Below are 20,788 nucleotides of genomic sequence, written 5' to 3'. Positions count from 1 at the left end.
GTGTATAAGTGCTATGAGATATTATGAGTATACCACTTTCTTTACATATTAAAGCATAATTTATGTTTTTTGATGCAGTGCATATAATTTTTATGAAGTTTTCAATTTAGGATATTACTTCTTTTTTGATTTGGAAAAAATAGTTATAGGTAAGGGCAGAAGATGCTATAGTTCCAATTCACAGTCTGTATCATGCAACTTATTTCTGAATGTTACTTAATCTTTTTTCTAATGTTTATGCATATAAGAACAATTTATATTAGAAAGAGTAAACTTCACTGTTAATTAAGAGGAAAAAAGGAATCTCTCCATAGCCTGAACTCTGCCCAGTGGAAAGAATGCCCCCAAGCCAAAGTGTAACACCAGTCCTTAAGGGAAATACAATCTTGATTCCATTGCTTTTAAATATGAGCTCCTTGTCTGCTTCAACGTAGCCTAATTCAGGTGAAACGAAACCACTGATCAGAATGACAGAAATCTAATACTCGTTTGAAATAGGCCAGTAAAGTGAGCCATAGATTGATCCTGCTAGTTTGGTCTTACTAGTTTGGCCCTTGTGAACTTGGCAGAAAATGTAAGCAGCCATGTCTTTAGAACCCCTAGTGGATAAAGAATATGCAACTTGTTGTGTGCCATTTTACAAACTAACAGGGTCTTGTGAATAACTACTGTTTCATCTCTGTTTTCTGTGTTATGAATTCCAGTAATAGTTTTCAAATTGACATCAGTGATCCAAGGCATCTGTAATGTAGAACGAGTAAGATGGAACCAATATAGGGAAGGCAAAAACAGTCTTCATTATTACAGCCAGTACTATCTATTTCTCATCTGTCAAATTTAAGAATTATTCATCAAATAGGCAAAGAGGAGTGGAGAAAGGAATCTTGTTTTTAGTTCAAGATTCTGTTAAAAACTTTTCCATAGAAATGATTCCTAACTGTACTGCATGATTCTGTTTTCATAGTTGGGATTTTGTTTGTCTGTCTAAAGGCTGATAGCTAATTTGTTGCGGCTTGGAAGAAATACTAATTCTCTTTGGGGTTTTCCTCTTTAGCGGTGGGTCTCGGAAAAGTTCATTGTTGAGGGCTTAAGAGATTTGGAACTATTTGGAGGTAAGTACAGTATGGCATTTAGCCATCACTTCAGGATATAAAAATCACTACTTTTTTGTTGACTAAATCAATCTATAGCAATTGGCAATTCTAAGGGCAAGTGTAACCTACAGTTGTTGGATTTCTTTGGTTCCTTTTTGAATTTATGGTTTCCCAAAGATTTGAAGACTAACATGGCAATTTTCCTTGGCCTGTCTTGATTGTTAGAAAGCCAGTATTTACTTAAAAGCATATATGTTTTCTTTTGTCCAGGTGAAATACATATTTTTAAAGGAAGAAAACTATTTAAAAGTCTGTAGCCTTGATTTAAAAAATAATTGTCAAGACAAAGGAAGCAATGATATGAAAGTTCTGGTTTTATTGATGAATCTAGTTGACTCATTTTTTCATGGTAGAAATTATGAGATTTAAGAGAACTAAGGAAAAATCTTTCAGAACAAAAATATGAACTTCCTATTGTAAAACCTGACTGTTGATTTCAGAAGTAAACTTTGACAGGCCTAGGCATTACCCTTTGGCCATTTTCAAAGTGAGCCTTTTTGGGAACTGTCATCTTAATTTAGGGCAACAAAAATTATTTTCAATAAAAATAATAGTAGAGCCCCATTCTTTGTGTCTGAATTCTAAGATACTCTTTTAGGATCCTATAGTTTAAGAAACAGATTACCGGCCGGGTATGGTGGCTCACGCCTGTAATCCCAGCACATTGGGAGGCCGAGGTGGGCAGATTACGAGATCAGGAGATCGAGACCATCTTGGCTAACATGGTGAAACTCCGTCTCTACTAAAAATACAAAAAAATTAGCCGGGCGTGGTGGTGGGTGCCTGTAATCCCAGCTACTCCAGAGGCTGAGACAGGAGAATGGCGTGAACCCAGGAGGCGGAGCTTGCAATGAGCGGAGATCGCGCCACTGCACTCCAGCCTGGGAAACAGAGCTAGACTCCGTCTCAAAGAAAAAAAAAAGGAAAGAAAGAAACAGATTATCGGCCGGGCACGGTGGCTCACGCCTGTAATCCCAGCACTTTGGGAGGCCGAGGCAGGCGGATCACCTGAGGTCAGGAGTTCAAGACCAGGCTGGCCAACGTGGTGAAACCACATCTCTACTAAAAATACAAAAATTAGCCGGGCATGGTGATGCACACCTGTGGTCCCAGCTGCTAGGGAGACTGAAGCAGGAGAATGGCTTGAACTCGCGAGGTGGAGGTTGCAGTGAGCCAAGATCACGCCATTGCACTCCAGCCTGGGCGACAGAGCAAGGCTGAGTTTTTGAGACTCCGTCTCAAAAAATAAAATAAGAAGGAAATTTAAAAAACAGATTATCAGATTGAGTACATTGGTTAGCTGATCCAAAATACGCCCAGATAGGTTTTTTTGGTCTTGTTTTATTTTGTTGTTGTTTTGTTTTGAGACAGAGTCTCGCTCTGTCGCTCAAGCTGGAGTGCAGTGGCACGATCTCGGCTCACTGCAAACTCCGCCTCCCGGGTTCAAGAGATTCTCCTGCCTCAGCCCTCCTGAGTAGCTGGGATTACAGGATCACACCACCATGCCCGGCTAAATTTTTTTTGTATTTTTAGTAGAGACAGGGTTTCACTTTGGGAGGCCCAGGCGGGCGGATCACAAGGTCAGGGATAGGTTTAAGTAATTGAAAACTCAAACTTGTTAGTTACTAGGTGGTACCTATTATTTTCCCTAACACATCTCAAAGAATTTCTGGACTAGTGATATCTGTGAACTTTGTCAAAGTATTATGTTTTAGATAAATGGGAGTTTAGAATAATGATGAGTTCTTTATATTTTAGTTGGAAAGAATTAGTTAGATGCACAGTAAAGGAAAGGATAGTGGAACAAAAATACCACATTCTGTTCCTATTCTCATTTTCTTCCCATCATTAATGGGAATAAAATGGTTTCAAAGTAAACAATGAGGCTGGGCACGGTGGCTCATGCATGGAATCCCAGCACTTTGGGAGGCCGAGGTGGGCAGATCACAAGGTCGGGAGTTCAAGACCAGCCTGGCAATATGGTGAAAACCCCATCTCTGCTAAAAAGACAAAAAAAAGATAGTCAGCATGGTGGCGCACGCCTGTAATCCCAGCTACTCAGGAGGCTGAGGCAGGAGAATTGCCAAGATCGTGCCACTGCACTCCAGCCTGGGCGACAGAGGGAGACTCCGTCTCAAAAAAAAAAAAAGGTAGGCCAGGCGCAGTGGCTCACACCTGTAATCCCAGCATTTTGGAAGACTGAGGCAGGCAGATCACCTGAGGTCAGGAGTTGGAGACCAGCCTGGCCAACATGGCAAAACCCCATCTCTACTAAAAACATAAAAATTAGCCAGGCGTGGTGGCAGGCACCTGTAATCCCAGCTACTTGGGAGGCTGAGGCAGGAGAATCGCTTGAACCCGGGAGGCGGAGGTTGCAGTGAGCCAGGATCACACCACTGCACTCCAGCCTAGGGGATAAAGCAAGACTCTGCCTCCAAAAAATAAAAAATTAAAAAAAAAATTAAAAAGAAGAAAGCATTTTCCTTGGTAACTAGACTTTTCTGATTTTGTAGTTTAAGGTATTTAGAATTGTATAATTTAAGATAATTAGAAATGTATAATCACCCCAATATTTTACAGTTAAAAATCTTCAGTTTGGTGATTTTTATCACTTTTACAGAATAGAGAAGGTCAAAAGCACATACAGAATTTGGCTTAAGAACAGAAAGTTATTTCAGTTGTCCTTTGTTTTGTTCATTTTCACTAGGACAAGCAGAGCGCCAAAATGCCTTTGCTTTATTTACATTTAGAATCAAATATATCTGACTTTAGAGAATCAGGTTGGGTAATGGTCCTTCATACACGTGTTGCTATTTTAAAACTTTTTGCCCTTTTTTGAAAAAACATGTTTTCTAGTTCCCACACTCACTGGGAAATGGCCAACCATCTCTGTAACTATATAATCAATTGTTTATTCACAAAATATAAGGAACTGGCCTATTCATAATAACATTGTGTGTTGATGCCAAGTAAATGTATGACCAGAAATGTAAGAGTTGAGTTCTATCCAGTAAAGAATACCCATAGAGTAGTAGCCTTGCCACCTTTTGAAGAACCATAGATCCATGTTTAAAGCCCTATCTCTCTGCAGCATTTTTACTGTGGATCTGTGTGTGTTTATATGTAGCCCCGCAGGCACTTTTTGCTGTAATGACTTTTAAGTGGTTTCTATTAATAAATGTAGTCCTAAGTACAATAATTGCTGTTCTGAATGTGGGTGTGTCTTCTGCTAAAACACAAAATGCCAACAATCAATTTCTCTACCCCAGAGCAGCCTCCGGGTGACACTCGGAGAAAAGTAAGTGGCTTCCTAGGCCCTAGCACTATGGCTGTTGCATGGAGATGACTTCTTGTGGAAGTTTGTGTGTTTTGTTGGCTTATCATTTTATGTTTCTGCTTATCTGTCACTGAGCTTTATTTGTAGTGTGATTTTTGTACTTGTGGAGATTCAGGTTTCACCCTGGAAAAATTTGGATGTGTAGTTTGAAAACTGAAAAAAGTCTCAGGTAGTTTTTGTCTCTTCTGGGGATTAAGGTCTCCTCCTCTCCCCAGCCCTGCCAATCGACTGCCACCCCTTCCCCCAAAAAAGTAAGTTTCAACAGTCAGAAATACGGTTATTGTTTAGTGACTAATGTTATTAAATTTTCCGTCCTTAGTTTATTAATAATAGATTTTAGTCCACAGAGATAATACAGATCTCTGCCTAGATAATAAGACAGGACCTCAAATCTCTTACCTTAAAAAACAAAAGCAAAATTAAAAAGTATAAAACAGAACATTTACTTTTTTCATTGGTGAAAGCTGCAAGATTCTTACCCTGTTTCCTTCTCTTCTAGTTTATTTTACTTAAATAAATAGCACCAGATGTGCACAGTGTACCAAGCTATTTTGGAATATATGAATCAGTGTCTTATAAGGAGAGAGGATAAGAACCTTTCCTACCTAGACTTCTGACTCTGTTCAGATTGCAGACATTTGCAGCTTCTGCAGCAGCCCTAAGGTTGAGTGAAGGACAGTGATGTTGACTGGGAATTTCTGAGTAAAGCTTTGGCTGTGCTTATGTCATCTGCTAATCAGGAGCACCTCTCTATCAGATCCAAATGCTTTCCAATCTGAAGACCAAAAACGTTCCCTATAGGCTCAGTTAGCTATTTTTCTAGAATACGATGCCAATTACATAGGATTTTTATATTTTTACAGCTGCTGATGTTATATCAAAAGTTATCCTGTGTGAAACCTGTGGGAAGTTGAATGTGTTTATTTGGTAGCATTTTGTGAATATTGTCTTTGTGTGCTTTACTGTATTTTGTTTTAAACTCTTTAAACACAGTTATTTTATGGTCATTTCTGGATATCAGCTGCTTATTTATTTTTCAGATGCTTCAAAATGAATAAAATGCATTTCATGGTGGGGGAAACTAAGAAAACACTTTGACAGAATTAGTTCCTTTCTATGAGCAATTGGAGATTATTACATTGCACTAATTAAACTATGCCATGCTGCATTTAAAGAGAATGGGCTAAATAGTTCATTCTTTTTATCTGAGTTTAGACCTGTTCTAAAACTGAAACAGTGTGATGAACTAACCTGCGTTTCTTGTGGCAATGTCAGATGATCTAGACTTCTTCCTTTCAAAATATTGCCTGTTTCCTTGTTTGTTTGTTTGTTTTCCTAAATGAAGTTTGGTCTCTCTTTGAGTTCGGACCTATACAATATCCACAAAGTAGAAGGCCTCCATTTTAGAATCATTCCTAGTAAGCTGGGGACAGAGCAGTTGCTATCACTGGACTAGTTCATTTTATGCAATTCCAGATTGCCTGTGAGCTCATATTGCCAGTTTCATAAAGAACTTTATTTTCTTTCTTTCTTTTTTTTTTTTTTGAGACCGAATCTCACTCTGTTGCCCAGGCTGGAGTGCAGTGGTGCGATCTCGGCTTACTGCAACCTCTGCCTCCTGGGTTCAAGCAATTCTCCTGCCTCAACCTCCCGAGTAGCTGGGATTACAGGCCTGTGCCATCACACCCAGCTAATTTTTATATTTTTAGTAGAGACAGGGTTTCACTATGTTGGCTGGTCTCGAACCCCTGACCTCAAGTGATCTACCCTACTCAGCCTCCCAAAGTCCTGGTATTACAGGCGTGAGCCACCGTGCCCAGTCAAGAACTTTTTTTTTTTTTTTTGAGATGGAGCTTCACTTTATTTTTTTTTATTTTATTTTTTCTTGAGACGGTGTCTCACTCTGTCACCCAGGCTGGAGTGCAATGGCATGATCTCGGCTCACTGCAACCTCCACCTCTCGGGTTCAAGCGATTCTCCTGCCTCAGCCTCCCGAGTAGCTGGGACTACAGGCACCCGCCACCACGCCCAGCTAATTTTTATACTTTTAATAGAGACGGAGTTTCACCATGTTGTCCAGGATGGTCTCGTTCTCTTGACCTTGTGATCCGCCTGCCTCGGCCTTCCAAAGTGCTGGGATTACAGGCGTGAGCCACCACGCCCAGCCGGAGCTTCACTTTTGTTGCCCAGGCTGGAGTGCAATGGTGCAATCTCAGCTCACTGCAACGTCTGCCACCTGGGTTCAAGCGATTCTCCTTCCTCAGCCTCCCAAGTAGCTGGGATTACAGACATGTGCCACCACACCCAGCTAATTTTTTGTATTCAGTAGAGACAGGGTTTCACCATGTTGGTCAGGCTGGACTCGAACTCCTGACCTCAGATGATCCACCTGTCTCAGCCTCCCAAAGTGCTGGGATTACAGGCGTGAGCCACCATGCCTGGCCAAGAACTTTATTTTCTTTTTTTACTTTTTTTTTTTTTTTTTTTAAACAGTCTCGCTCTGTCGCCCAGGCTGGAGTGCAGTGGCGCGATCTCAGCTCACTGCAAGCTCTGCCTCCCCGGGTTCACGGCATTCTCCTGCCTCAGCCTCCCGAGTAGCTGGGACTGCAGGTGCCCGCTGCCATGCCCAGCTAATTTTTTGTAGTTTTAGTAGAGACAGGGTTTCACTGTGTTGGCCAGGATGGTCTCAATCTCCTGACCTTGTGATCCGCCTGCCTCGGCCTTCCAAAGTGCTGGGATTACAGGTGTGAGCCACCTCGCCCAGCCCCCAGAACTTTATTTTCTAAAGGCCAGGTGTGGTGGCTCACACCTGTAAACCCAGCACTTTGGGAGGCTGAGGCAGGAGGATGACTTGAGGCCAGGAATTTGAAGCCAGCCTGGGCAACATAGTGAGACCCCATCTCTAAAAACAAAAAAACTAGCCAGGCATGGTAGCGCACACTGGTAGTCCTAGCTACCCAGGAAGATGAGGCAGAAAAATCCCTTAAGCCCAGGAGTTCAAGGCTGCAGTGAGCTAGGATAGCGCCATTGCACTCCAGCTTGGGAGACAGAGTGAGACTCTGTCCCTAATTAAAAAAAAAAAAAATTAGCTTGGCATGGTGGCATATACCTGGGAGGCTGAGGTGGGAGGATCCGCTTGAGCCCTGGAGTTCGAGGCTGTAGTGAACTATGATCATGCCACTGTACTCCAGCCTGGGTGACAGAGTGAGACCCTGTCTCAAAAAAAAAAAAGAAAAAGAATTTTATTTTCTAAAACTAATACTTTTGGGTTAGTTTTGGTAGTTTTCTGTAATACTGGAGAGTAGAAATAAATATTGTCAAGTTACTAACTAAGCACATTGATAGTTTAATGAATCATTCCCTACCTAGGCTTAGCAAGAATGTGTCTTAGTGTATAGCCTAGTAGACAATATGTCTTATAAGCTTATATGCACGCCTGACAAGGAAGAGGGACATAGGTAATGAAGTATCTATCTGCCGGGCGCCATGGCTCACGCCTGTAACCCCAGCACTTTGGGAGGCCGAGGTGCGCGCATCACCTGAGGTCAGGAGTTTGAAACCAGCCTGGCCAACACAATGAAACCCCATCTCTACTAAAAATGCAAAAATTAGCCGGGCATGGTAGCACGCACCTGTAATCCCAGCTACCCAGGAGGCTGGGGCAGGAGAATCACTTGAACCTGGGAGGTGGAGGTTGCAGTGAGCCGAGATCGCGCCATTGCACTCCAGCCTGGGCGATAGAGCGAGACTCTGTCTCAAAAAAAAAAAAAAAGTAGTATCTATCTGTGGTTTCTCCAAAGGGAGTTATTTAAAGTACATAAAATGAATATTTGAATCTCAGGACTCAGCTGTCTTTCATAGTCTCTTTTTCAAGTGAGAGAAATTTTAAGGAGTTTGCTTAGAGAGCAGATGCACGAAGACCTTCAGATACAAAGTAGTTGCCTCTCATTGAGGCCATATTGTTACCTACTGAAAAATGCAGTACTTTCTCACATGCAGGAATCAGATTCTGGTCTATAGAGTGTTCTGAGTAACACAGGAATCTAACGACTGTGTCATTATGAGGCTGGCATTTCCAGCATAGGTCATCATGCTGAACCCGTTACCAAAGGAACTGGCTGCATTGACCTATTCTCTTCTTTAGCCCGTGGGAATGAAAAGATCATGGGCAGAAAGCCTCAGTTCAAACTTTGCTTAAATCATTTTCATTTTTTAAGCATTTGCCAGCGGTGTTCCAGGCACTGGGGGAATACATCAGTGAACATGACAGACAAGGTCCCTGCCTTTCTGGTGCTTGCATTTTAATGGAAGAAACTTTAGTGGAAGATTTTAGAGAAATAAGCTGCAATGGTAACTTCTGTGAAGAAAGGAAAGCAAGGCTGTCTGATAACGTGACCAGGAGCCTAGTTTACTTTGGCTGGGCAGTCTCTCTGAAAAGGACATTTAAGTTGAGACATCAGTGATGTTGAGGAGGTAGCCATGAGAAAAATAGCAGGGTCAAGGGAAGGAGGAGGCTAGGAGGGTTCCAAAGGGACAGTTAGTGCAAGTTTCCTGAGACTGGAACACACTTGTTTATGTGGGAATATTGTTCAAGTCAGGCGAGCGTGGTGTGGAATGAGATCACAGAGGTAGGCAAGGGCCAAATCATTTGTATACTCATAGGCTGGGGTGGGGAGTTTGGGTCTGAAAGCAACCCACTGAGCTTTCTATTAACTGTTAACATTGATTTTATTAAGGAATAGATTAATACTTAAGAAAACAGAATCTGCAGAGCAAGAATATGTGCAGGAGTTAGGCGTATATAAGGTTGAGAAAATGAGACACTTCAAGACCAAATGAGCGTTGTGAATTCTAAACCGATGGAGAGTTGTCATTTCAGAACTCTTGCTTGAGGCTTTTTGCTCAAATTGCTGCTCCATTTTTGCCTCCTGGTTGTGTATCTCTCTCACCTTGGTGAGGTACCTGGCATGTGGTAACCAGTATCTTAACATCTTAAGATGATTCTGAAGATGAGATCGTTTCAAAAAGCTAGAGTCAGCAGGGTGCAGTGGCTCAAGCCTGTAATCCCAGTACTTTGGGAGGCCGAGGCAAGAGAATCGCTTGAGCCCAGGAGTTTGAGACCAGCCTGAGCAACATAGGGAGACCTCATCTCTACAAAAAATACAAAAATTAGCTAGGCGTGGTGGCACATGCCTGTAGTCTTAGCCACTTGAGAGGACTGCTTGAGCCTGGGAGATTGAGGTTGCAGTGAGCCATCATCTTGCCACTGCACTCCAGCCTGGGTGACATATTGAGAGCCTATCTCAAATAATAATAATAATAATTTTTAAAAATTTAGTGATCCTAGGCCAGGCATGGTGGCTCACGCCTATAATCCCAGCACTTTGAGAGGCCAAGGTGGGAGGATCACTTGAGGTCCAGGAGTTCAAGGCCAGTCTGGCCAACATGGTGAAACCCTGTCTCTACTAAAAATACAAAAATTAGCTGGGCATGGTGGCTCACACCTGTAATCCCAGCACTTTGAGAGGCTGAGGCGGGTAGATCACTTGAAGTCAGGAGTTCGAGACCAATCTGGCCAACATGGTGAAACCCTGTCTCTACTAAAAATACAGAAATTAGGGGTGGTGGCAGGCATCTGTAATCCCAGCTACTTGGGAGGCTGAGGCAGGAGAATCACTTGAACCCAGGAGGCAGAGGTTGCAGTAAGCTGAGATCGCACTACTGCACTCCAGCCTGGGCAACAGAGTGAGAGTCTGTCTAAAATAAATAAATAAATAAATAAACTTAGCCGGGCATGGTGGTTCGCACCTGTAGTCCCAGCTACTTATAAGGCTGAGGCAGGAGAATCGTTTAAACCCAAAAGGCAGAGGCTATAGTGAGCTGAGATCACGCCATTGCACTCCAGCCTGGGTGACAAAGTGAGACTCCGTCTCAAAAATAAATAAATAAAATAAAATAAAATTTAATGATCCTAGAATTTATTTTGAGAGCATTAGAAAACACAGATAAGTATAAAAACCAGTATCAAATCAACTTTACTGATCAAGCTCTGCTTAGGATTCTGTTTCCTCCATTTTCTCTTTTCCATTTTATTTGTTCAACAGGAGAGTCACCAAAAAGTAGAGAGCAATAGAAGGAGGAGGAGAATAGGATTCACATGTATTGAATGTCTTTTATACACCAGGTAGCACTAAGCTCTTAACATATTTTATCTCATCTAATAGATACAACACTATGAGATGGAAATTATTCAGCTGCTGATATAATGGAGATCCCAAGAGATCAGAGTGACTTGCCCAGGGTCACAGAACCAGTAATAGACCTGAGTTCAAATTCTGCCTCTATGTGGCCCATAAGCCTATGCTCTTTGCATTGTAGCATATGTTTTATTTAAAACAGCCTTTCCCAATTATCTTTCCCAAAATTTAACAGATGTTAGGCACAAAAGGTTCCCTAGACAGATCTCTTTGGGAAATGCTGGGTTAAACACAGTAAGTTTTCTTACTACAGAATTTCTCAGTGCCTTTAATATGGACGTACACCTTGTGATCCTCCATGAGAGAGTGTGCTGCATTTCCTAACTTCACTGGACATGGAAACTTTTTCCATCCAACTGGCAGAATCAGAGTTCCGTGGGGCCTACTTTGGGGAAATCCTGCACTGAAACAACAGGAAAATGGTCAAGAGACAGGAAGAGGCATTTTCACCTTGGAGAACGCTCACATGACTGATAAATATATGAAAAGATCCTCATCTTCATTAGTAATCAGGGAAATGTAAATCAAATCCATGAGACTGGCAAAAATTAAGAAATCTGAAAATACCAAGTGTTGGGGAAAAGATAAATTAATAAGAACACATGTGGCCGGGCACAGTGGCTCATGCCTGTAATGTTAGCACTTTGGGAGGCCAAGCTGGGTGGGTCACTTGAGGTCAGGAGTTCAAGACCAGCTGGGCAACATGGCAAAACCCCATCTCTACAAAAAAATACAAAACTTAGCCAGGCATGGTGGCTCACACCTATAGTCCCAGCTACCTGGGAGGCTGAGGCAGGAGAATTGCTTGGACCCAGGAGGCGGAGCTTGCATTGAGCCAAGATCGTGCCACTGCACTCCAGCCTGGTGACAGAGTGAGACTCCGTCTAAAAAAAAAAAAAAAAAAAACCACGTACGTTGCTGGTGGGAGTGTAAATTGGTATAACCATTTTGGAAAATAATTTGGCATTGTCTCAAACAGTTGATTGTTCATATGCTCTGTCACTAGCAATTCCAGCCACTCCTAATTACAAGCTTTAGTCAGGATACATATTCAAACATGTTTATAGTAGCACAGTCCATAATAGCAGAACTGAAAAACAACCCAAATGAGCCATCAAAGTTGGAATTGGATAAACTGAGATATATTCATGTGCTGAATATATGATACAGCAGTGAAAATGGGCGAACTACAGTGAAATACAACAATATGGCCAAATCTTAGAAATTTAAAAATTGATTAAATTAGAAATGGAATTTGGTGACAGGGCTTAATTTTGCTTGACTAGGTTCCTCTTATTGCCAGGGTAAGTGGTGAGGGAGACAGAGCCCACTTGAGGGTTTCTTTCCCCATCAGCAGCATCAACTGTTTTGAAACCACATACAGCCAATAATCTCAGCTCCTGCCAATAATCTCAGCTACTTGGGAGGCTGAGGCAGGAGGATCAATTGAGCCCAGGAGTTCGAGGCCACGGTGAGCCAGGAACTCACCACTGCACTTTAGCCTGAGCGACAAAGAGATAACCCATATCTTAAAAACAACAGCAACAAAACAACAAACAAACCAGATACACGTGAAACGTCAGCCAACAGGGTGGTAGATTAATCTCACTGGTTTGGGCCTGGGTCCTGTGCCATGTACTCACGTTTTGATTTTTGGCAAGTCACATAATCTCCTTGGCCCTCGTTTTTGTTAGTGAAAAGTGGAGATAAGATCTGTCCCGGCTACTTGACTGAGCTATGGAGGAATCATGTGCAATTTGGAAGTGCTCTGGAAAGTATACTCTGGTCATCTTACAGGTATAGAGCACCGTCATCTTTATGGTTTCCTCTGCAGAGCCGCTTCCCAAAGAGTTGTTCAAGCACCGCCTTTTCAGAACACTCTCAGCTCGTGCTCTTCTGGGTAGTGCTGGGTCAGGAGCCTCTCATACTTTCACAAAGGACTTTTTCTGCCTGGAGGTCAGGTTTATGAGTGCAGCACATGAAACATGAGCTGGCCCAGGTTTCTCCATTTCAGTTAGATGTGCATCTAAAGAAAGAGAATCTAAAAGAAAAGCAGTCACAGTCCCTAAATCATACACATAAATTTAGGTGTGGAAGAAGGAAACAGTCCATTAAGCTGAAAGAAGAGCTGTTGGTCTGCCGTGTGTTTTGCACAAACTCAGACATGGCTGGACACCTTCCTCTAGGACCTTAGAGGCCAGAGTTGTGACACATCCTAAGTGGCTGGACTCCAGCTTCACTCACAGCACACGTGGGCAGGAACGAGGGAGCAGGCCATGTCAGCTGCCTGGACGATGCCTGAGACCTGACAGCTCTGTGCCTTGCCTGCAGCTCAGGGCATCAGGGTTCTCCCACTTCACTTGGAAATGTCAGGCAATGACTGGCCCGGGCTCTTGGTTTGCTAAAGAGGGGGCTACTCCTGGCCACATTTTCCCTAGAGCAAGATTCAGCGTTTGACCTTTTGGGATCTTGTGGTGAGGACCTTAAAAATAGGATCCTAATGCATCAGGAAATTCATGAGAACCCCTACCTCTCCACCTGCTTCTCTTTTCCAAACATGCTTTCATTCTCTAGACATCCCTTCTCCAAGTGAGAATTTCATAGCTTTTAGCAAATGCATTGATTGTTGGAAAGGACAAGCAGATTAACATTTGATGGGAACAGGTCCTTGTCTCCTCATTTGTAGACAACCCTAACACTTGCTCTGATATTAGTGCTGATTACTACCCTGAATGTAGTGTTTTGTTTCTCTTCAAATAGTGCTGGCACTGAGTCGGGATTTGTGTGTGTGTTTAGATGCCAGTCTCCTCGTGGGTCTGAATTACCACCTTCACCCCACTCCCATCCCACCCCCAGTTTTCTCTACTAACCTATTTTTCTTTTTCTTTTTTAGACCAATGATGCGAGCTCAGAGTCAATAGCATCCTTCTCTAAACAGGAGGTCATGAGTAGCTTTCTGCCAGAGGGAGGGTGTTACGAGCTGCTCACTGTGATAGGTATGTGCAGGGGCCGTCCTTACTCTCCTGCTTTCTGCTCCAGGGGCTGCTGCAGCTTTCTCAGCAGCCCCAGATGTGTGTACAGCAGAGGCCATCCACTAGTTAGGAGGATTCATGGGCACAGACTTGCTTCTGTGGGTCTTCTCTGTTTTTTTATGCCAAGTATGGGAAGAGATCAAACTTCCAGGAAAGAAGCTCTTTTGCCATCTTTCCTTTGTGGCTGCCATGTTTCCGGTGTCCTGGCCATAGTGAGTCAGAAAGGTTGGCTGAGAAGGAACTGATGAGAGAAAAATCAAGAAATGTGAGCCATGAACATAACAGTTAAATTCTGCTGGGAAAAGGAAAAAAAAAAAAGTAACAGTAGTGAAAAATTTAACATTAAGTTTCTTTTGAAATCAAGTCCCTTTTTTAAAGGAAAATTTTCTTAAAACCTTTTGTTGTTCTTGTCCTTGCGTATGGCATTCCCTTTTTCTTTTAGGCAAAGGATTTGAGGACCTGATGACTGTGAATCTAGCAAGGTACAAACCAACAGGAGAGTACGTGACTGTACGGAGGATTAACCTAGAAGCTTGTTCCAATGAGATGGTAACATTCTTGCAGGTAATAAACCATGAGTGTGTCACATGGAGGGAGGGTGGGCTCTTGGCTCTGATAGGAATTACAAGGAATTACAAAGAAATGAAGGGAGACTAAACGTTCGGAAGTTATGGAAGCTTTCAGTGGAGAATCCTGGCCATTTGGCACTAAGGATTGGGCTGAAATGCTGCTCAGCCTAATTTATATTTCCCTTTTCTTCTCCAAACACTCCCTTCTGGCTTTTTTATTCATTTATTTATTATTTAGAAAGAAGCTAAGTAACTTGCTCATGGCAGAGGCAGGATTCAAACCCAGGCCATCTTGTTCCAGACACAAGGTGCCTGCCCTGCCACCAGTGGCCATCTTCTGGCTCTCAGCCTCCTGTTTGCCTGATGTTCCTTTCTTTTTCTTTTCTTTTTTTTTTTTTTTGAGACGGATTCTCACTCTGTCACCCAGGCTGGAGTGCAGTGGCACGATCTCGGCTCACTGCAACCCCCACCTCCCAGGTTCAAGCGATTCTCCTGCCTTAGCCTCCCGAGTAGCTGGGACTATAGGCGCACACCACCATGCCCGGCTAACTTTTGTATTTTTAGAAAAGACGGGGTTTCTTCATGTTGGCCAGGCTGGTCTCAAACTCCTGACTTCAGGTGATCTGCCTGCCTTGGTCTCCCAAAGTGCTGTGATTACAAATGTGAGCCACCGCATCTGGCCTCTTTTTTTTCGAGACAGGGTCTCATTTTATTGCCCTGGCTGGAGTACAGTGGCAGGACCACGGCTTACTGCAGCCTTAACCTCCTGGGCTCAAATGATTCTCCTGCCTCAGCCCCCCAAGTAGCTGGGACTATAGGCACACCACACCTGACTAATTTTTGTATTTTTTGTAGAGACAGAGTTTCACCATCTTGCCCAGGCTGGTCTCAAACTCCTGAGCTCGAGCAATCAACTCACCTCAGTCTCCCAAAATGCTAGGATTACAGGTGTGAGCCACTATGCCCAGTCCTGACATTCCTTTCTATTCGAGAAGCAAGTAGCCACTCTCTCGTTAAACTGAGAGAGGGGGCAGGCATGGTAGCTCATGCCTGTAATCCCAACACTTTGGGAGGGCAAGGCAGGGAGATTGCTTGAGCCCGGGAGTTTGAGATTGCACTACCAAACTCCAGCCTGGGTGACAGACTGAGTCCCTGGCTCAAAAAATAAAACAAAACAAAACGGAGAGAGACTGTGAGTCTAGTAAGTGCTTGGGAGTTAGACTCTCCTTTCCTGATGCCAGCTTAGAGTCAGGGCCTGGGGCAGTTTTCCTTCAGTAGAGTTAGTTGCAGCCCCTCCCCTCCTTCATTTACAACTTTTTCTGAATTGGTGGTTACCTGATGGTGCTCTAGGACCTGTTCATCTGTTCATAGTAGTTTGGTGGGTCTGAGGATGGAGCAGAAGCCAGTCTCAGCTGGCCTTCTCCTCCATCAACTGTGTTTTCTTTTTCTTTTTTTTTTCTTTATTTGAGACAAGGTCTGGCTCTGTTGCTCAGGCTGGAGTGCGGTGGTGCAATCACAGCTCACCACAGCCTCAACTGCTCAGGCACAGGTGATTCTACCACTTAAGCTTCCCGAGTAGCTGGGACTAAAGGCATGCACCACCATGCTCAACTAATTTTTTGTATGTTTCATATAGATGGGGTTTCGCCATGTTGCCCAGGCTGGTCTCCAACTCTTGGGCTCAAGTGATCTGCCTGCCTCGCCTCCCAAAGTGCTGGGATTACAGGCGTGAGCCACCATGCCCGGCCATGTTTTCTTTTATAATAGAAACATAGTTTTGGGCTGGGCACAGTGGCTCACGCCTGCAATCCCAGCACTTTGGGAGGCCAAAGCAGGCCTAGGCAACATGGCAAAACCCTGTCTCTACAAAAAAATATAAAAAATTAGCTAGGTATGTTGACGTCCACCTGTGGTCGCAGCTACCAGCGAGGCTGAGGTGGGAGGATGACTTGAGCCTGGGAAGTTCAGGCTGCAGTGAGACGGGATCACACCACTGCACTCCAGCCTGGGTGACAGAGCAAGACCCTGTCTCAAAAAAATAAAAAAGAAAACATTTTTGGCCAGGTGCAGTGGCTTGGTGGCTCACGCCTATAATCCTAGCACTTTGGGAGGCTGAGGCAGAAGGACTGCTTGAGCCCAGGAGTTTGAGACCAGCCTGGGCAACACAGTGAGACCTTGTCTCTACAAATAACAACAACAAAATATTTTTTGTTTTCTTATCTTAAAGAGGAATTCTATACGTTGGCCCTTGAAATTGAGATAAGCTTATAACTTCAGAAGTCTTCAGTCAACAGTTTGCCTTCATCATCTCTGAGTCGGTGTGCTGGCACCCTTTGTTGTTGGCAGTTTCCCTATCTGGCAGAGGCAAAGCAGTGCTGGGTCCCTGCAGAGGCAGCAGGGCCTTGTTTTTCCTATGTTGGCAGGCACCTGCTTAGGCTGTTCCCATGACTCTGAGAACACCCAGAAAGTGCCAGGTCCCCCTATTGTCCATGCTGCCATCTTTGTGTTGAGCGGCATCCTTCAGTGCCATTTGGTTCTGACTTCAGCTTCATCATTGCTTCCAGGGCGAGCTGCATGTCTCCAAACTCTTCAACCATCCCAATATCGTGCCATATCGAGCCACTTTTATTGCAGACAATGAGCTGTGGGTTGTCACATCATTCATGGCATACGGTGAGTGGGAAAGGGTTCTTGGTAGAAAGGGGTTATTGGGACTCTGTTGTCAGATTGCCTGTGTTTTCCTCCTCCATTACCTTTCACTGCCTCCATGCAATCCTTTTCTGCAGGTTCTGCAAAAGATCTCATCTGTACACACTTCATGGATGGCATGAATGAGCTGGCGATTGCTTACATCCTGCAGGGGGTGCTGAAGGCCCTCGACTACATCCACCACATGGGATATGTACACAGGTGCGTTCTTAGGCGGCCTTTCCCATGATTACAGTGGGTAGCTATGCCCCTGAGCCTTCAGGTAAAGTGAAGTTTGACTGAAGTTAATGAAGCCAGAGTTTAAAATCAAGGATCTGGATTCTTGCTGAAGATCTCTTTGCTCTGAAAAGAAACAGGGCCCAGCGCGATGGCTCACGCCTGTAATCACAGCGCTTGGGAGGCCAAGGCAGGTGGATCACAAGGTCAGGAGTTTGAGACCAGCCTGGCCAACATAGTGAAACCCTGTCTCTACTAAAAATACAAAAATTAGCCGGGTGTGGTGGCACATGCTTGTAGTCCCAGTAGCTGGGACTACAAGCTGAGGCAGGAGAATCGCTTGAACCTGGGAGGCGGAGGTTGCAGTGACTGGAGATCACACCACTGCACTCCAGCCTGGGTGGCAGAGTGAGACTCTTGTCTGAAAAAAAAAAAAAAAAAAAGAGAGAAGGATCTGGATTCTGACCTTGCCACTGACTTGGGAGATGGTCACTTAGCCTGTTAGTGCTGAAGCCACTGACTTTCTCTTTGCTGAGCAGCTTGGTCTTGAGTGTTGTGTGAGAGGAACATCTGATGTGGACCTTTGTACTCCACTCTCTGCCTCCTTCTTTCTGTGCCCCAGAGTCAGTCTTATGCTGAGAGACCAGGGCGAAGACAGATAGCTTAGTAGATAGTGTCAGGAAATCAGCTCATAGTAGGGAAAATGGTAAAACTGGACCCCTACATAACTCCTCATACAGAGAAGGACTGCAGCTGGATTAAAGGCTTCTATGTAAAATGTGAAACTGTAGACTTAAATAGAAGGAAATGTGAGAAAATGTTTTTGTGACCTGAGGCATGTAATAATTTCTCAACATTTTAGAAGCACAAAACATAAGACAAAAGATTGATGAATTTGATTAGATCAAGAAGATTTCTATCCAATACAAGATACCATGAAAAAGGTTAAGAAACAAGTGACAGAGCAGATGATATTAGCTTTGTCACCACAGGAGATTAGTAACAGGGAAATCTTGCAAATCAACAAGAAATGGACAGCAAAGCAAGAAAAATGGGCCAAAGATATGAAGTTTACAAAAGAGGAAACCCCAAGACAAACCCATCATAGGAAGAGCCACTCAAATCTCGCAATCAGAGAAAAGCAAATGAAAAACAAGATGTCACCTTATACACATGAGACTGGCAGCGGTTGGGAGGCTGGACGAGTCCCAGTGTGGCAAGGACGGGGAGCCTCCTGTCCAGGTGGTGGAAGATGCCCGGTGCTGCCAGTCAGGGTCACAGAACCAGAACCATCAATGCCACTTCTGGATGTACACCCTAAAGAAACCCTCGTGCAGACCCATCAGGGGACATGTTTGGATGTCACCATTCACACGTGTGTTGGTTAGGGGTAGTGTGAGTGTCTGTCCCCAGAAGGATGGATGAGTAAAAGTGTTAGATCTCTTCCCAGAACCAAGGTGACAATTAGAAGAAAAGATGAAAGGTACACAGCTAGCAATACAGATGTGTCTGGAAACTACAGCCCTGAGTGAAAAAGGAAGAATGGGATGCGGAACACAGTACCCCTAGGTACACTTTACAAGAGTCCTACAGATAAGAAGTACAGATTAAAAGCATTCGTAGGAGGTAGGGCAAGAGGTGTTCTAGAGCATACAAGAGCACTGAACAGTCCCAGCACTCTGGGAGGCCAAGGTGGGTGGATCACCTGAGGTCAGGAGTTCGAGACCAGCCTGGCCAACATCGCAAAACCCTGTCTCTACTAAACATACAAAAATTAGCCGGGCATGGTGGCAGGTGCCTGTAATCCCAGCTACTCAGGAGGCTGAGGCAAGATAATCACTTGAACCTGGGAGGTGGAGGCTGCAGTGAGCTGAGATCGTGCCATTGCACTCCAGCCTGGATGACAGAGCTAAATAAGCTTTTAATCTGGTGATATGTAAATGGAGTCATGCTATTTTATGTAGATTTGAAGTTTTTCATTAAAACATAGTTATAGCTGGATGCAGTGGCAGCACTTTGGGAGGCCAAGGGGTGGATCTCTTGAGGTCAGGAGTTCAAGACCAGCCTGGCTAACATGGTGAAACCCTGTCTCTACTAAAAATACAAAAACTGGCTGGATGTGGTGGCATGAGCCTGTAGTCCCAGCTGCTCAGGAGACTGAGGCAGGAGAATTGCTTGAACCTGGGAGGCAGAGGTTGCAGTGAACTGAGATTGCGCCACTGCACTCCAGCCTGGGCGACAGAGTGAGACTCTGTCTCAACAACAACAACAACAAGAACAAAAAACCTGGTTATAGGCCGGTCACGGTGATTCACACCTGTAATCCCAGCACTTTGGGAGGCCAAAGCAGGCGGATCATTTAAAGCCAGGAGTTCAAGACTGGCATGGCCAACATGGCAAAACCCCATCTCTACTAAAAATATAAAAATTAGTTGGGCGGGCCCAGCGCAGTGGTTCACACTGGTAATCCTAGCACTTTGGGAGGCTGAGACGGGTGGATCACGAGGTCGGGAGATCGAGACCATCCTGGCTAACACAGTGAAACCCTGTCTCCACTAAAAATACAAAAAAAAAAAAATTAGCCGGGCGTGGTGGCGGGTGCCTGTAGTCCCAGCTACTCGGGAGGCTGAGGCAGGAGAATGGTGTGAACCCGGGAGGCGGAGCTTGCAGTGAGCCGAGATGGCGCCACTACACTCCAGTCTGTGCGACAGAGCAAGACTCCGTCTCAAAAAAAAAAGAAAAAAAAAAATTAGCTGGGTGTGGTGGTGCACACCTGTAATCCCAGCTACTTGGTTGGCTGAGGCACAGGAATTGCTTGAACCCAGGAGGCAGAGGTTGCAGTGAGCCTAGATTGAGCCACTGCACTCTAGCCGGGTGACAGAGTGAGACTCTTATCTCAATGAAAACAAAAACATGGTTATGTATATGTAAAATACACATATACGTGTATAACACACGCACACAGGAGAGAGCTGGCCAGGTGGAGTGTGTGAAGACCAAAAATTTGTAGCAGGAGGGGCTCCTGCTCTCGACATGACACCCTCCCCGCTTCCCCAGGAGTGTCAAAGCCAGCCACATCCTGATCTCTGTGGATGGGAAGGTCTACCTGTCTGGTTTGCGCAGCAACCTCAGCATGATAAGCCATGGGCAGCGGCAGCGAGTGGTCCACGATTTTCCCAAGTACAGTGTCAAGGTTCTGCCGTGGCTCAGCCCCGAGGTCCTCCAGCAGGTCTGTGTGTGGGCCCAGAGGAGCTCCCCTACCCAACTCATGATTCCCAAGGGAGCCTTCAGGCATTGCCTGGAGTCGGGGGCTCTCAACCTCCCAGTGGGGTAAAGGGGTTCCTGGAGGGAGGGAGCCCTCAGCGTGGGCAGCGCCTGTCCACTGCAGATGGATGTGGTTCCTCCCAGGGGGTCCTAACCTCTATTGGATGAAATTTCAGCTCCCTTTAGGGACCCTTGGCACCCTATGAGAAGAGTGAGCATTTTGGAAATGTTTGCTGCTCTCTGGATCCCT

The 20,788-nt window shown here is 44.5% G+C and overlaps 1 protein-coding gene across 16 annotated transcripts in view, besides 1 other annotated feature; it reads left to right on the top strand.

Annotated features, from left to right (window-relative positions):
• STRADA (STE20 related adaptor alpha) overlaps positions 1-20,788 on the top strand; it is a 39,155-nt gene that overhangs the window by 14,237 nt on the left and 4,130 nt on the right. For 6 of the 16 annotated variants that reach the window (NM_001363789.1, NM_001003786.3, NM_153335.6 and 3 more), the window contains exons 3-7: positions 13,642-13,744; positions 14,223-14,344; positions 16,914-17,022; positions 17,136-17,259; positions 20,332-20,503. In NM_001363789.1, coding sequence (NP_001350718.1) covers positions 13,642-13,744; positions 14,223-14,344; positions 16,914-17,022; positions 17,136-17,259; positions 20,332-20,503 — 630 coding nt within the window. Of the gene's footprint in view, positions 1-1,054; positions 1,113-4,423; positions 4,453-13,641; positions 13,745-14,222; positions 14,345-16,913; positions 17,023-17,135; positions 17,260-20,331; positions 20,504-20,788 lie in introns of all 16 variants that reach the window. The other 10 variants (NM_001363786.1, NM_001363788.1, NM_001411083.1 and 7 more) reach the window with 4 other exon arrangements.
• Positions 17,127-17,421: a silencer, noted in NCBI's record as "tiled region #9817; HepG2 Repressive non-DNase unmatched - State 15:Elon". NCBI's record gives its function as "represses a minimal TATA promoter and a strong SV40 promoter by Sharpr-MPRA in HepG2 cells {active_cell/tissue: HepG2}" and the evidence as "EXISTENCE:reporter gene assay evidence [ECO:0000049][PMID:27701403]".

The sequence above is a fragment of the Homo sapiens genome, chromosome 17, assembly GCF_000001405.40.
Source record: "Homo sapiens chromosome 17, GRCh38.p14 Primary Assembly".
Taxonomy (NCBI): Eukaryota; Metazoa; Chordata; class Mammalia; order Primates; family Hominidae; genus Homo; species Homo sapiens.
The sequence above is the reverse complement of the archived record's forward strand: the minus strand, read 5'-3'. Positions and strand labels throughout refer to the sequence as shown.